Source organism: Homo sapiens, chromosome 11, assembly GCF_000001405.40.
Source record: "Homo sapiens chromosome 11, GRCh38.p14 Primary Assembly".
NCBI classification, from domain to species: Eukaryota; Metazoa; Chordata; class Mammalia; order Primates; family Hominidae; genus Homo; species Homo sapiens.
Genome location: NC_000011.10, coordinates 108,595,421 through 108,613,088, shown reverse-complemented (window position 1 = coordinate 108,613,088; position 17,668 = coordinate 108,595,421). Strand labels below are relative to the sequence as shown.

General features: G+C 40.8%; 1 protein-coding gene across 2 annotated transcripts in view; it reads left to right on the top strand.

The window, feature by feature from the left end:
• EXPH5 (exophilin 5) overlaps positions 5,553 to 17,668 on the top strand; it is a 102,102-nt gene continuing 89,986 nt past the window's right edge. For both annotated transcript variants that reach the window (XM_017017398.2, XM_017017397.2), the window contains exon 1: positions 5,553 to 5,606. In XM_017017398.2, coding sequence (XP_016872887.2) covers positions 5,572 to 5,606 — 35 coding nt within the window. In that variant the 5' untranslated portion in view covers positions 5,553 to 5,571. The remainder of the gene's footprint in view (positions 5,607 to 17,668) is intronic.

Here is a 17,668-nt window from a genome sequence, read left to right as displayed (position 1 = left end):
TAACTTTGGTTCAGCAGCATTTAATAATGATAAGTTAATACATTTTATTGATTTTGCATATTGGGGAGGTAAATCCACACTCACAGTCAAAAGAACTGTGTCCCAGCTTTGCCACTTACTGGCAGTTGTCCTTAGATGAATTATCTAAATACTGTGACTCTGTTTCCTCCTCATCTGTAAAGTGGGGCTAATAATACCTATCTTGAAAACACAGTGCCCTGTGTAGCTGAAACTTTTTTTTTTTTTTTGAGACAGAGTCTTGCTCTGTCACCCAGGCTGGAGTGCAACGGTACCATCTCAGCTCACTGTGACCTCCGCCTCCCGGGTTCAAGAGATTCTCCTGCCTCAGCCTCCCTAGTAGCTGGGATTACAGGCACACACCACCACGCCCAGCTAATTTTTGCATTTTTAGTAGAGACGGGGTTTCGCCATGTTGGCCAGGCTAGTCTCGAACTCCTGACCTCAGGTGATCCATCAGCCTCAGCCTCCCAAAATGCTGAGATCCCAGGCATGAGCCACCATGCCTGGCCTAACTGAAGCTTAGTAAATGTTGATTCCTTCTTTTAAATTACAAAATGCTTGGACAAGCTCCAGTAAAATAGAAACAAAGGGTTAAATTTTGCTTCCACAAAGTCAAAAGTCTTATTAATAAATTTATTGAGTTCATGTATCACATTGTAAAAGAACTTAGGAAGATTTTTAAAAACATTAGCTAGTTTTCATTTTAGATCCACAAAATGTTAGTGAAAATAAACAGAGTAGTCTGTGATTTTTAATAAAAATTCAGTAGCGGCTCAATACAATGCAATGGAAAATAAGCACAGGTTGTGGAGTTCGGGAGACCTAGGGTCACCTCCTAGTTCTGCCACTTAATAGTTTTGTGACCTTGCAAAAGATAATATCGTTGAGGCTCATTTTCTTTATGGACAGGAAGGGGATAATACCATATTTCAATGAATCTAATAATCCATATATTGTAAGACTCATTGTTCTTTCATGTACAAGTAAAAATAAAACACTGCCATTAAGACACAATGCTTTCTTGTAATGTAGAATTTTTATTTCATACTTACTGAAAGAGCTCTTTCAATACATTTAGACAGGTTTTAATCATATGTCGCCGTAATGCACAGATAAAAATAAAAGTCTTAGCAAAATAAATTACTTAATGTATTCCTCAAATACAACATAGTAAGACTCTTCTTTTATTTCATTTTAAGATGGAATCTCACTCTGTTGCCCAAGCTGGAGTGCAATGGCGCCGTCTCAGTTCACTGCAACCTCCGCCTCCCAGAGTCAAGCGATTCTCCTGCCTCAGCCTCCCCAAGTAGCTGGGACTACAGGCACACGCCACCACACACGGCTAATTTTTGTATTTTTCATAGAGATGGGGTTTCACCATGTTGGCCAGGCTGGTCTCGAACTCCTGACCTCAGGTGATCTGCCCAGTAAGACTTTTCTGAATTGCTTTTGACTCACAGTCACTGATGTCCCTACTTTTCTATATAATATTGGCGTGTATGCCATCAAGAGCATTGATGATGCTTAGCTCTTACAAGACAACCCTACAATTGCCTCCAAGATTTTCCTCCAAGCCATACTTCGATGCTGCTACTTTCATGCCACAAAAAGTGACAACCAAATTTGCTGATGAGCAGGCAGTGACAATCAGTGTGTAGCTGCTGTCTTGCGGACAGTGACTATGGGACACTATATGATCCGTCCTGGTTTCAGAGACATTCGGTGGTGGGAAAATGTGCTTCTTAGAACTGTGAAATTTGGGTAATAATCTTCATAGAATTACTGCAAAGATTAATAAGAAAATATATTAAAAGGATTAATAATATAACCTGTAGTCCCAGCTACTCGGGAGGCTGAGGCAGGAGAATGGCGTGAACCCGGGAGGCGGAGCTTGCAGTGAGCTGAGATCGTGCCACTGCACTCCAGTCTGGGTGACAGAGCGAGATTCCGTCTCAAAAAAAAAAAAAAAAGGATTAATAATATAATAACAAATAAATTGTAGCTATTATATTACAGGAAAGTGGGAGAATGCAGCACTTTTGATCTGTGACTCCTCACCATATTCCTGGGATGGACATAAATACTGAATTAAATTATTCAAAATCCTGGGTAGTCTACTGTCCTATTTGAGGCTTGACATTTTGCACATGATGGATTTTTCAAGTCTGAAGCAAACATTGTCAAATAGAATATTCATTTTAGTTTCTTATCCCCTCCCTCCAAAGAAAAAAAAATGAAACAAAATTTTGTGGCTATTGTGGTAATCCATGTCTTATAAAAGCATGGCATGATCACCAGAGTATGACACTCTTTTCCTTTCTTGCCCTCCAATTCTGCACTCTCCTGGGTACTTCCTGTCTACCACCACCATAGGGTCTGCAGATCCATTCCAAATAGCTTCATTTAGGAAGCCAAGTCAGGCAAATGTTTGGCAGAGAAGTATATCAATAAAAATATCAATATCACTTTCAAAGGTAAATAAAAAATAGCTATAAGAATTACTTGGAATTTTATTATTTTACTCAGTTCTTCAATAAGAGGTCTGAAAATCAGCTTATCTAAAAAAGGGGCCATGGTGGCTCATCTCTCTAATCCTAGCACTTTGTGAGGCCAAGGACGGATTGCTTGAGTCCACGAGTTCAAGACCAGCCTAGACAACATGGCAAAGCACTCTCTCTACAAAAAAAAAAAAAAATACAAAAATACAAAAATTAGCTGGGCATGGTGGCGCATGCCTGCCTGTAGTTCCAGGGGGGCCGAGGTGGGAGAATTGCTTGAGCCCAGGAGATTGAGGCTGCAGTGAGCCTTGATTGTGCCACTGCACTCCAGCCTGGGTGACAGAGCAAGACCCTGTCTCAAAAATCAATTAATTAATTAATTTAAAAAATTAAAAAGGAAGAAAATGGAGAGAAATAACATCCGAGCTTTTCTGCAGGGGAGCAACAGTGCAAGGCTGAGCCTCTTTTATAGCCTAGCTGCTCATGAGCCCACATACAATAGGCCCCCTTTATCTAAGACTGCACTTTTTGCAATTGCGGTCCGAAAATATTAAATGGAAACTTCGAGAAATAAACAATTCATAAGTGTTAAATTGCACACTTTTCTGAGTAGTGTGATGAAATCTCACACCATCCTGCTCCATCCCACACAGGATATGGATCCTCCCTTTGTCCAGTGTATCCATGCTGTCTACATTCCCTGCACCTTAGTCACTTAGCAGCTGTCTTGATTATCAGATTGACGGTTGAGGTCTCACAGTGCTCGTGTTCAAGTCACCCTTGTTTTATTTCATAATGGCCCCAAAGCACAACAGTAGTGATGCTGGAAATTCAGTCATGCCAAAGAGAAGTTGTAAAGTGCTTCCTTTAAGTGAAAGGGTGAGAGTTCTCAACTTAATAAGGAAAGAAAAAAATTCATACAATGAGGGGGTTTGCTAAGATCAACTATATAAACAAATCTTCTATCAGTGAAATTTTGAAGGAGAAAAAAGAAATGTGTGCTAGTCTTGCTTTTACACCTCAGACTGCAAAAGTTATGGCCACGGCGCATAATAAATGCTGAATTAAGATGGAAAAGGCATTACATTTGTGGGTGGAAGACATAAACAGAAACATGTTCCAGTTGATAGCAAAGGGAGTGGGATGGGAGGTAGGGAATGACCAGGGTCACACATCAGGCTGATCAGGCAGAACAATATCAAATAGAAGAAAGCTGCTCAACCTTGCAGTATTGACCTTTTGCACTGAATGATTCCTTATCTTCAGGGGTCATCCTGAGCATTGAAGGAGGTTTAGTAGGATCTCTGTTTTCTAAGAACTAGATGCCAGTAGCTACCCACCCCCTCTACCGCCAATCCCTCCCCAACCCATCCCTGGAGCTGTGACAATCAAAAATGTCTAGGGAATGGCCAATTGTCCCCACTGGGGTGGGTGTGAAGAGAAATTGCCCCTGCTTAAGAATCACATACATAGGATAATATCAGCAAAGATCATGTATCACTGTGAGATACCAAGATCCCAAAAGGAGTTTGAGTATAGAGGACTAATTCAGGCAGGAATAATTCTCAAGGACAATGGTTGCTGGAATCAGCCTTCAGCCCTGGACTTGCTCCCTCTCCTTTCTTTCTCTTCTCTTTCCCCTCCTCTTTCCTCTCTTCCTCCTCCCTCTCCTTTTCCTCCTTTTCTCCTCCCCCTTCTCTGATCCCCTCCCCCTCTCTCTCACACAGAGAATTTGACTTTGTCTTTTGTTTTGTTTTGTTTTGTTGAGACAGGATCTTTCTCTGTCACCCAGGCATGATCATGGCTCACTGTAACCTCCAATTCCTGGGCTCATGCGATCCTCCTGCCTCAGCCTCCCAGGTAGCTGGGTTTACAGGTGTGAGCCCCTGCACCAGGCCAGAGGATGTGACTTTGGCTTGCAGAGAGCAGCTCTCTAAGACAGAAGTCTTTGCAATCTCTGCTTGAGCAATTTTCTATACCACCAAATAGGTATTAGCCCAATTCTCTTAGCTTCTGGGAAGGAGCTGCAGAGAAGCATGGAAAACTTCCTTTCTCCTATACTCAGCAAATACACATTCAACAACACATAGAGGAACATTTAGGGAAAGCTAAGTTTAATAGCTGTGGGCTGGGCGTGGTGGCTCATGCCTGTAATCCCAGCACTTTGGAAGGCCGAGGCAGGCAGATTGCTTGAGCCCGGGAGTTCAAGACCAGCCTGGGTAACATGGTGAAATCCCATCTCTACTAAAAATACAAAAATTAGCCCGGTGTGGTGGCACATGCCTGTAATCCCAGCTACTGGGGAGGCTGAGGCAGGAGAATTGCTTGAACCAGGGAGGCAGAGGTTGCAGTGAGCTGAGATCACACCACTGCACTCCAGCCTGGGTGACAGAGCGAGGCTCCATCTAAAAAAATTAAAAAAAAAAAAATCAGTTGTGTATTTAAAGCGTCTTCTATTTCCAGAATATTAGCTAGTCCTGAATGTTCATTTTGAGAATTTGGTAATCACAAAACCACCTTTATTTTGTACTATACTGTTGTGAGGTAATGGGCCTCAAATCTTTAGGAAAGTAAAATTTGAAAACCAAAAAACTTGTGGCTACAAACCTTCTCATGCATATGCATTGTCAGACAGTACTTGTTGAAAATGCAGATTCCTGATACTACTAGTGAGTCTGATTCAGTAGGTCTGGGTGGACCCAGGAATTTACATTTTTAACAAGCAACCCAGGTGATTCTGATCCTCAGATAATCTTTTGAGAAATACTAGTGTTTAAAGGAGATAAAATGTAAGGATATACTGAGACTAGTTAGAAATGTATAATTTAGTCTAAGAGAAGGCATTTGGCAGGTACTTGGGCCCTTGTTTGATGCAACTCTGGGTGGAGGTTTGAAAGATTAGTGAAGGGGAGGGATTCCTGCATGTATAAATCAGTGTGTGAGGAAAGTGGGTAATTGCTTGGCATTAGGCAATTATACATGCAAATTAGAAGAGCACATATATATAAGCCAAACAAAACAAAGACAATGGTTAGTACATCGTAGAGCCACCATGCCAGTCACATCATCATTTCCAATTGCCCAGATGTAAGTACCAGCAATGACAAGGTTTCCAATTGTTTGATGCTCTGATAGTTATGTATTGATGCAAGAATATTTTTTGGAGGATATTTTTACATTGAATGAGTAAAAATTATGATGAATTCTTTTCTAGTTGACTCCATATTCACCCCACACTAAAAATAATAAGACATTTAATAAACATAGGCCTAAGTCAGTTTGAAAAATAATTCTTATTCTTGATGTTAATATTGTGTACTCCCAGTATTGTACTCTAGAATTCTTTCTGTCTTTCAGTTATTTCAGCTTTTCAAGGCATGTGAGTGAAAAGCTGAAAGAGAAACAAAGCTCTTGTCTCTTTTCCTAACATATGTTAGCTAGTGATATTTTCATTAGTGATTTTTATGTTTATGTTGTATCAGTCTATTGCCTGGAACAGCTGATGTACTTCTGTTTGTTCTCGGATTCCTATTTCAAAGAACTTCCTGAGACAGAGATTTTTAGACCTCCTATTTGTCTTGAGTCTTGGTTTGATGACTCTTAGTGGTCACAATGAAAAGTCCATCATTTACGATCTTTGTAGTCTGAAAAGGTAAATAGAAATGTTCTCAATGGTTTACAAATTTTAAAAAAATCTGTAAGTGGTATGACAAAATTGAACCTGGACCAGATTGTAATTAAGATATGGTTCCTGCTTTAGAGTTTTTGCTTAGCTAGTGGGAAAAGGTATATAAACAAAAAGTAATATAAAGAGTTCTAGGTGCTCTGAAAAAAACCTGTATGAGGAGAGGAGGCTTGAGGGAGGGTGTCATCAGGCAGGGGTGAATCATAAGGGGAAGGGTTGGGAAAAGCTTCTTGCACAAAGTGAGCCTTGAGCCGAGTCCTTGGTATGAACCTGTCTTTAAAGGGCTTATTATAAAACCAAGGAGTTTGCAAGCTCATTAGAGAGCCCAAATTTAAAATCCATTTTTTTAAAAAAAGGTGAGTAAGTTGATATTAAATTGTGTGGGGCTGGTTACTAGGTGGAAAACTTTTGGAAAAGTAAGGCAGGTGGGTTGGAGCAGGTACAGAGGGCTTTGTAAGGGAAGTAAAGCTGAGCCAAGACTTAGGATGGGTAAGAAAGAGATAAGTGGAGTGGAGATTGGGGAGCAGAAGGTGGGGAAAGAGTCTGAGCAAAGACAGGGCCCACGAGGAGGAAACCAGCTGTCTGGGCAGGCATGCCTGACAGGGACTGGTGTGGGGGATTTAACAGGGTGACATCATGACTGGCTTTAGAGCTAGGCAGTTTGGGGATTTGGTGTAGAAGGTAATGGTGAGGCTGGGTGCAGTGGCTCACACCTGCAGTTCCAGTGCTTTGGGAGGCCGAGGAGGGAGGATCGCTTGAAACCAGGAGTTCGAGGTAACAGTGAGCTATGATCGTGCCACTGCACTCCAGCCTGAGCAACAGAGTGAGAACCTGTCTCTATTTTTAAAAAAAGAAGAAGGTGATGGTGAGATCTCACAAATTCCTGATTAGGGAAGTCATATAGCTGAACATATGCTGAAAGAAATATTTCTGAAAAACAAGTCTGCTTTCTATTTCAAACAATGGACTAAAAAGGGCTGAGGATGGAGGCTGGAGGCCAGCGCAGAGGCTGCTGCAATCCTGCCTCACAATTGGTGGGGAGGTTCTGCAGTCCTGCCTCTGCTGCTGAATTATTACATTTGTATTTCTCTTCATCCTTTTCAGAATGATTCATCATATATGTCCACTATACAGTAGGCATGGCAAGCACATGAAGCATCAGAGAAACTGAGTAGCTTTTCAAAGGACGCAGAGTTAGCAATTAGCAGAGTGTATCCCACAACCTAGGTTCTCTGAATCCAAATTGCTCTAACACAAAGTTTCTTGGCCTCAGCACTGTTGACATTTTGGACCACATAATTCTTTGCTGGGCGTAGGAGGGGGGCTGTCCTGTATAATGTAGGATATTTAGCCGCATCTCTGCCCTCTACCCTGTAGATGCTGGTACCACTTCTCCTCCCACAGGTGACAGTGAAAAATGTCTCCAGACATTGGCAAATGACCCCAAGGGACAAAATCAGCTTCAGTTGAGAACAACTGTTCTAATATGTCACACAGTATAATTTTTATAAGAATCACATCTCCTATGTTGGACCTAGGCAGCTATTTTCCATGACTTTCACTTGTGACCCCAAGCCAGCACTGCTCAGACACTAAGTCTTTGGAGGATGAGAAGAGCCCCAGCAGAAGGGTCACTGCTTTTGTGATCAACTCTTTATGGAAATGATGGCTAAAACCCATTAGCAGGGAAAGGGTCTCCACCTTGAGGCACCCTTTCAAGGTGCTACACCATCACAACCCGTTTCCACCTGGAACTTTGGGGATCATTGGTTTGACACTCTTGTCCCAGAATTTTTTTTCTGTTGGCTAAGAACCCATCCCAATCCCAGTGATCTTGTTCTTAGGGAATCTCCCTCCTGTCCACTCACCTCTTACTTCTGTTACTCTCAATTCCTTCTAAGTCAGTCCCATCCAATTCATCTCCACCCAACCAAGCCTATTTCTCTAATTTACCTATTTTATGGCCACTGAAACCCTTATTAATTTTACTAAAATTTCCTGTACACTTACAGACCTTTATGTGAGTGTTCCTTTCCCCTTTAACCTAAAACTGATTTCATCCTAATAACCTGAATTTCCTTCTTGACCACAGGTAGTAGCCACTTCTTGTGTTGTCTTCTTCCCTTTGACCCTGGGGTCTCAGGACCCTCAGGCATTGGCATTCTCCTTGGCCTTAACACCTACTTCCAGACCACTTTTCTGACTGTCTTAGAGTCATATTCTTTAAAAGTCATCTCCACATTCCCATTGACTTCCCATCCTGTCATCTATAAACCAGGACACTTACTTATAGAAAAGGGGTAAGGCTCAGACCTCCTAACTATGAAAATCTTCTGAGTTCTAATTTGCAATAATAATACACATAAAACAAATACAGAAATTACCAAGAGGCTGAGTAGGGTAATGAGGGTAGGATGAAATAAAAGGAAATAAAGTTTTCTTTAATTGGCAAAAATATCCAGCCCTCTCCCACCCCCCGCCTTTCTTTTGAGACAGGATCTTGCTCTGTTACCCAGGCTGGAATGCAGTGGCACAATCTTGGCTCACTGCAGCCTTAACTCCCTGGGTTCCAATGATCCTCCCACCTCAGCCACCTAAGTAGCTGGGACTACAGGCACACACCACCATGCCCAGCTAATTTTTTTTTTTTTTTTTTTGTAGAGATGGGGTTTCACCATGTTGGCCAGGCTAGTCTCAAACTCCTGGGCTCAAGCAATCCTCCCACCTGAGCCTCTCAAAGATTATAGGCATGAGCCTCTGCACCCGGCCTATTCAGCCCTTTCTTCAATTAAATGTAGAAAAACCAACTGCCTACCCTTAAAAAAATTGAAACAGGTCTACTACCATCAGATCTTCTTTTCTGACCTGACCACTAGGTCCATTTCTAACAAATATCAACTCGTGAATAACAGCCTGTTATACTTCCTTATCATTCCAGAATCCCAGCCATCTTTTCCTAAAGATCTCTGAAGTCTGTGTTCGCTTCTCCTGGAAACAGCCTTTCTCTCCTCCAGGTCAATCCATAAGGAAGCCTTGCACCTTATCATTGTTAGGTAGTTATTAGGAACTGCTCTCTGCCCACAGGTGGAGGTCATATTTGTTCCAGCATTCAGTCATGTGGAGCAAATGGCCTATTCATCAGAACAGAGTGGTTGTATCTTGCCAGTGTTTACAGCCTCTTTGGCTTAATGCTGTCCTACTAAACTTAAACTTCACATTTTGAGAAGCTTGAGTTAATAATGGCATTATGCTTAATGTACTGAGCTTGTATGTGGACTATCCCCAGCTTACTGCAGTGAGGATGGGGAGGTTCACAATGTTATCAACATGGACAAAAATAGTGAAATATGATTTTTCTTAAAACAATTTTTTAAGAAACGGATTCTCACTATGTTGCCCAGGCTGGTCTCCAACTCCTGGCCTCAAGCAATCCTCCTCCTGAGTAGCTAGGATTACAGATACAAGCCACCATGACTGGTGTGAAATATGATTTAAAAATTATTTGTATTAAGGTGAAGTTTACATAACATAAAATTAATCATTTTAAAATGAACAATCCAATGGCATTTAGTACATTTACAGTGTTGTACAACTAGCACCTCTATCTAGCTCCAAAATATGTTCAGCAATCCAAAAGGCAACCCTATTGTATTAGTCTGTTCTCACACTGCTATAAAGAACTACCTGAGACTGGGTAATTTATAAAGGAAAGAGGTTTAATTGACTCACAGTTCCACATGGCTGGGGAGGCCTCAGGAAACTCACAATCGTGGCAGAAGACAAAGGGAAAAGAGAGGTCTTTTTCACATGGTGGCAGGAGAGAGAAGTGCAAGCAGGGGAAATGTCAGATGCTTATAAAACCATCAGATCTCACAAGAATTCACTCACTATCACGAGAACAGAATGGAGGGAATCGCTCCCGTGATCCAATCACCTCCCACCAGGTCCTGCCCTCAACACATGGGGATTATGGGGATTACAATTTGAGACGAGATTTGGGTTGGGACACAGAGCCACACTGTATCACCTGTATCTATTTAAATATGATTTTTAAACCAACCTGAGAAATTATATATGATTTGCATAGTATTTGCAGTAAGTATTGGGTTTCTATTTTCCTTTCTTATCCTACTAACCCCTTATAATCTGCTTTATGTTAAAGACAGTTTTAGATGGGTGAGATGATGGCTCACGCCAGTAGTCCCAGCTACTTGGGGGACTAACATGGTAGACTCGCTTGAGCCCCTGGAGTCAAGGCTGCAGTGAGCTGTGATCTGGCCACTGTACTCCAGCCTGGAAAACAGAATGAGACCTCATCTCCAAAAAAAAAAAAAAGGCAGTTTTAGTGGAAGTCCCAGGTGGACAGTGAGTTACATGGGAGAAACCCCTCTGGCCCAGGTTATTTGCCTTTCTGGAAAATCGGTGGATAACATAAATCTACATTGGATACACCCCTCAAAAAGAGAGGTGTAGGAGATGGGGGCAAATAACCATTGAAAACTATCAAGGAAGGAATTTGGAGGAAATTAAACTGAAAAGAGAAATTCAAATAGAGAGGTAAAGAACAGCTGTAAAACAGTGCCTGGCACACAGCAGGTGCCTAATAAATATCTGTTGAATGATGGAATGAACAAAAATAACCCTAAATGAATTAGTGAAAATAACCCAGAATAAATGAATGGATGGCTGCATTAGAAATGGATGCAGGATACAGTAGTGTTTCAAGGGAGCAATTTGATAAGCTATGAGGGGAAGCACATTAAATGGTTCCCATGTCATCACAGTTGGACCAGCCTTAAAAGCAAATAGGAAAGGGATGTAGAGTCTATCATTTCAGGGCAGGCACAGTGGCTCTTGCCTGTTATCACAGTATTTTGGGAGGCTGAGGTGGGCGGATTGCTTCATTCCAGGAGTTCGAGACCAGCCTGGCCAACATGGTGAAACCCATTCTCTCCAAAAAATATGAAAATTAGCCAAGCCTGGTGGCTCACACCTGTAGACCCAGCGACGTGGGAGGCTGCGGTGGGAGGATGGCTTGAGCCCAAGAAGTGGAGGTTGCAGTGAGCTGAAATTGCACCACTGCACTACAGCCTGTATGACAGAGTCAGACCCTGTAGAAAAATAAAAATAAAAAAGAAAGAAAAGAAAAGAAAGAAAGAAAAAAGAAAGGAAAGAGAGGGAGGGAGGGAGAGAAAAGAAAGAAAGAGAGTTTCCATCATTTCATATTCAAATACTTACAATATAGGGGAAATGATCAAAGTTTTCATAGATTTTACTATTTGTCATATTTAAATACTCAACTTTGAAATTACACCTTGAAGGGAAAAATATTGATTGGATTCCAGTACTTAAGGTTTTAACAAATAGGCCAGAAGTAGAAGGGCATCTGTTATTATATAAATTGTTGTTTACAAGCTTGGATTGTACCTAGTATGGTTGTAAATTTATGTGACCATTTCTTAGTCAGTCTTGGAAATACTATTTTTATTTGTATTTCTTTATATGTTAAGTGCATTTTCTCTCCTATGACTATTAACTGAAGTATGCTATTAATTTGAAAGTTTGTCTACCTAGTCAGCAACTTAACCAGAAGAATGTCTAATATGATACATACCATCATGTGACTACGGGTATTAAAACATACAGTTAATTAAAGCACTGGCATATTTTGATCTGCACAATAATTAGTTTAATAGGTTTTAGCAAGACCCAGATGTTACTCTATTCCAAGAGGGTTGACATTTTCTGCTCAATTAGTACTCAAGTTAGACATTCTAACTCAGGACCACAAGCATATATGACAAATTTCACTCCGGTAGGAATATTCTATTACCTGCAGGAAGCCCCTGTATGGTGAACAGTTCTTGCCGATCCATGGGCTCTGCTGCAGGACTTAGCATGCTTCTTAAGGCATGGCAACAACTTCTTTGTGTTCTTTCAACAGCTTGTATTTAGAAACTTATGTGTCATTATCCTGTTTGAAGGCATTGAATAACATTGTACTTGTCATTGAACTTGTCACTAGACAATAAACACCTGACCATGTGAAACAACAAAGATAACCAGGAAAACAATTGTGTGTGGTGGAAAAAGGGATGGCTAGAATCCTAAAATGTGTATGGTTAATGTATTATTTGAAGTGCGCCCCATATATGAGAACAAATGACTAATACAGCAAGTGAAGAACCAAAAAGTACTTAAAATACACCAAAATTAATTTATGGAGGTTAAGTTCTGAAGGCCTTCATTGGTGAGTTAACTCAGTTAGCTCTGCTTAAAGTCTTCCACCCAGACACTAGTAGGTCCTGATAATGAATTTAAAAACAAGAAATGAAATTATCAAATTCTATTTAGTGGAAATTTGCCTTCTTAAGTCACAAGTTTTGAAGAACTATCATCCGCATACTGTGCCAGTCACATTAAACAGTTAACATTTTTTTTTCTAGTTTAAAACCTAAGTACTTGAATCAAAATGAGAAAAAAAATCCAAATACATTAATAAACTCTTTAAAATGCACAGAGATAAAAAGAAACTTCAGGTTTAGTTGGAGCCACCATTTGATTAGATGTGAGTGGTATATTAATTAATTGCAATGATCCATCTAATAAAAGGTTGCAAAGAGACTGCAGCATACCAGTATTTAGGCTGTTGATGGAGAAAGGACAACTTAACTTTCAATCTCACTCCTTTCATTCTGAGTGGACATTTCTTTGAAGTTTAGAAGATGCTGAGTTCAGTCTCCCATATTTGAATTTTCTTCCACTCTCTGTACGCTTTTCCCCCATCTCCATACAATATAGAAGGGAAAGCATAGGAAAGGGCCGTCTCTTCTCACCTTACTTGTAGATTCCAAGTTACCCAGATTGCAATCTCCTGGACTCAAAGAGTAAAATCAAGTTCAAGGGATTAGTATTATGGAAGCAAACAAATGTAGGTCTTTGCTTATGAAGAAGTGAGTTACTGAAAACTTTCCAAAATCTATTGAGAGCAGGCATGGCATTCCTTCTCTCAGGTCGACAGTAGTTATTAAAGCCTGCATCCCATCAGCATTGTCAGTGCTCTCACTTACCCTGCTTTCTTTACTGATGAGAAGGCTGCCCAGCAACAAACAAAAAGGTTTCTTTTCCAGGTGTTACTTGATGTCTGCACAAGGATTGTTATTGAAAGGGCACTTCTTCTAAACAGAAAGGCAACCACATGGAAGTAGGTAGAATTGCTATAAGGAAGAATGTTCAAAGAGTGAATACTATAAAATGCCAGAACTGGTTATTGAAGTAACATAAAAACTACCAACAATCTTATTTCTGTAAAGCAGTTTAAAGTTCTCAAAGAACTTTCAGAACTGAAGTTTCTTTTTTTAAATCCAGTTAGGTTGTGACATCTACAGAGGTCTTTCATGGTAATATTAAAAGCCTTTATCAAAATATGCACACTGTGATTACAACTGTGTTATGAGTATGCATTTGTATATATGTATATACACAATTGTGATTATAACTATAGCTTTATACACATGCATACATGAGAAAGAACTTTAGAATGATATTAAAATATGGAAACAGTCCTTGAATTAGGATGGTAGGATTACAAATATCTTTTTTTTTTCTTTTACCACTTTGGTGTCATTATGCTACATTTTCAATTTAAAACATTTAATCCTTATGTCATATACGATGTGAGGTGAGTTCTGCCCAGAGGAAAGAGTTCCTCTAGCTTGGAGGCAGGGAGAGAAGAGGTAACATCTGGAAATTCATTTTATTATCCCAGAAGCCAGCCAGGTGTGAGGAGGAAACTGGGCAGAATCCCATTGACCACCTAGCTGGGAAGATCTCTCTCTCTCTCTCTCTCCGTCTCTTTTTCCGGAGGGCTTACCATATGCTACACACTTCCCAGACATTAGCACATTTAATTGCACAATCTTATGAGGTGGAAGGAGGTGAGATGGCTACCCAAGGTCACACAGCTAATAAATAGTGTAGCCAGAGCTTGAACCAAAGATACTGACTCCAAGCCCACGTCCTTAGGATGGAATCTGAACTCCCTTGCTTGGCCTAGCTCCCTTATGTTATCAGGCCCACACTTACTTCTCCAACCTCCTTTTTTATGTCCCTCTTCTGGATATTTACCACGGTCCAGAGACATCAGCCCAGAGCCTGCCAATCTCTCTCCTGCCTCAGCATCTTGGCACTTGCCTCTGCTTGGAAAGCGCTTCTCCTGTGTCTTAGCAAAGCTGGATCCTTGACACCCCTCAGGTCACCGCTTATGTGTCACCTCAGGGTACCCTTCCCAACTACCCCATGTAAGATTATCCCCTCCTCTTCAGACTTACTCTCCACCATATCACTCTGTTAATTTTCTTCATAGCGTTTATCACACGTGGTAAATCTTTTTATTTATTTACTAATGTATTATCTGTCTCTTTCCAAGGAAGTGCAAACTCCCTGAAGACAGAGACCTGTTTGCCTTGGTGCCTCTGCATTTCCAGCACCTGTCACAGAGCCTGACATACAGCAGGTTAAACAAATACTACATGCCCATAACAACTAAGCCCATTATCTGGGCAAGGAATTCTGTGGAATATTTCTTAGATGAAGATGAAGGTTCAAAAAGAACTTATAAATAGCACATACATCTACTTTCTACCCACATTTTATTCAACCAATTTGAGGACATTTGTACACGTAAGTTCTTCACATGTCTGGCTTCTTATCCTTCAGGTTTTAGCTCATATGACATCTCATCATGCGGGTCAGTCTCCAGCCTGACCACTCTGGCTGGAGCCCTCCCTGCATCCCTCCCATTCTCCACCCTGTTTACTTGGTTCACAACACTTATCACACTCTAAATTGATGTTGATTTGTTTATTTATTTATTTTTTAACCTCTATGCATTAGAAGCTAACGTTTTGAGCGCAGGAACATCTTGTCTACACAGCTCCTAGAACATTTCCCAATGGATAGTAGACATTCCATAAATATTTTTTGAATGAAGCCACACATGGCCACTAATTCGTACTCCTTCTTTAGTTCTAATAGTTTTTGTGGTTTTTTTTAACAAATTTCTTTGGTCTTTTTCCTAAGTAGATAATTATCATCTATGATCAATTTTCTCTTTTCTAAGAGTTACACCACATTGTTTTTTTCCTTCCCTATTGTATCAACTAGAACTACCAGAACAATGTTACACAAGACAGGGAATAGCAGGTACCTCTGATTTGTTGTTACTTCACAGACTCACCATTAATTATAATACTGGTGTTGTCTGGGACAGACATTCCTTGCCACATCAAGGAAAAATCCTTTCTAAAGGATTACCAAGTATTTTTAAATTTAGCTCAATTTAGTTTAGTCCTAACAAAAAGCAATCTTGAATTTTATCAGAGAACTTTTGATAATAATGTGTTATTACTTTGATCTAATGATAAAGCAAACTATGTTAATATTTAAATCACCTGAGGTCAGGAATTCAAGATCAGCCGTCCAACATAGTGAAACTCCTTCTTTAATAAAAATACAAAAATTAGCTGGGTGCGGTGGCGTGCGCCTGTAATCCCACCTAATTGGGAGGCTGAGGAAGGAGAATCATTTGAACCCTGGAGGCGGAGATTGCAGTGAGCTGAGATTGAGCCACTGCACTCCAGCCTGGCCAACAGAGTGAGACTCCATCTCAAGAAAAATAAAAATAAAAATAAAAAAATCAGACATTCAAGCAAGTGATGTGATCAGCATGTCTCTTGGCTTGGTGATTGTCAAGGATGGAAAAAACTAAGCCCTGTGGTGGGGATTTGGCCAACAGACTAGAGAGGGTAGGGGACTATGAGAGATTTCTAAAGATCACTGCTTTCTATCCAGCTGTGACTATTAAATACTAAACTGATGAGTATCTCTTTAGCTGAGAGCCTGGGCAAAAGGTTGCCAGGATTACCGGATACTAAGATTGAAAATGGCTGCTTGCCTCCGGCTAAATAAGCCCATAAAACAAACCTTTGGAGAATTATTTTAATTTTAAGAGCATTGTGTTTAAAACTCCACAAAAGCAGTTCTGTATGGTTTCCAGGGCAGTCCCCAATGCCTTGTAAATTTCTCAATATAAAAATTTCTCAATAGTATGCCCCATTGTGCCACAACCCAGGGCTGAAGCATGCCTCAGTGCTGAAGTCTGATGAGGTTGGACACTCAAAGTTCTCAACTCAGCTTCTGCTCCTCATCCTTCCTTTGCTATCTTAGGGTTTTGGCAACCATTTTTAAGCAGACAACTTCCCAGTCTACTTCTCCATCCCTGTTTCAAGAACTTGAGTCCCACATTTCTCATTTTAAATTGCCATGTGGATGAATTGCAGGTACCTCAAACTGCTTGTGCCAAAAACTGAACACCTGATTTCTTGACAAACCTTGTTTCTCATACTATCAAATAGACTGGTCTCCTTTTAGACATCTCTCTTGAGATCTTGCATCATCTTTGCGTCTCTGTCTTTCTTAATCCTCCTTTTTAATGAGTTATCAAATCCAGCCAATATCTTTGGAATTCCACCCTCTTTTTCTACTCTCACTTACATTGCCTTTGGTTGGGTCCTCTTTCCCTTTCTCCTGCATCAGCATTCCAACACAATGGTTTCCTTGATGCCATCTTCACTCTACTCTTCTTGTCTACTGCTATCAGAGTAATCTACCCAAAGTTCAATTTTTTTTTTTGACAGAGTCTCACTCTGTTGCCCAGGCTGGAGTGCAGTGGTGTGATCTCGGCTCACTGCAACCTCCGCCTCCCGGGTTCAAGCGATTCTCCTGCCTCAGCCTCCCGAGTAGCTGGGACTACAGGTGCACATGCTGGGCTAATTTTTTGTATTTTTAGTAGAGGCGGGGTTTCACTGTGTTAGCCAGGATGGTCTCAATCTCCTGACCTCGTGATCTGCCCGCCTCCGCCTCCCAAAGTGCTGGGGCTACAGATGTGAGCCACTGTGCCCGGCCTTAAGTTCAATTTTAACTGTATCATTATCACCCTCAAAACCTGTATTAGCTCCTCAGTGCTTACACAATGAAGTCTAGATTTCATCACATGGCATTCATAGTCAGAGCTCAGCCTACCTTTCAGCTCACTGTGCTCTGAGCACTAGCCCAGTGTTTCTAAACCTCTTTCTCACTACTGTCCCCACAATGCACCTTTTTAGAACTTTTTTCACAATCACCTCCCTTGTGCAATGTTAATACTTCAGATATACTGTGTATCTGTGTATCATGTGTAGATTTGTGCTTTCTACATAAAAAGAGGAAGATTTTACCCCTGTGGAGACTACATGCTCTGCCAAAACAGATCACTTAACAATCCATGAACATGCTCCAGTGTTTTCTAGCTTCCAAGCTTTTGTTCAGTCTGGCCATTAAAGAGGTTGAGGGAATATGAGAAGATTCCTAGACTGTACTTCTGCTATTCAGCACGCTGATCCCCTTGCCTAGAATAGACTCACAC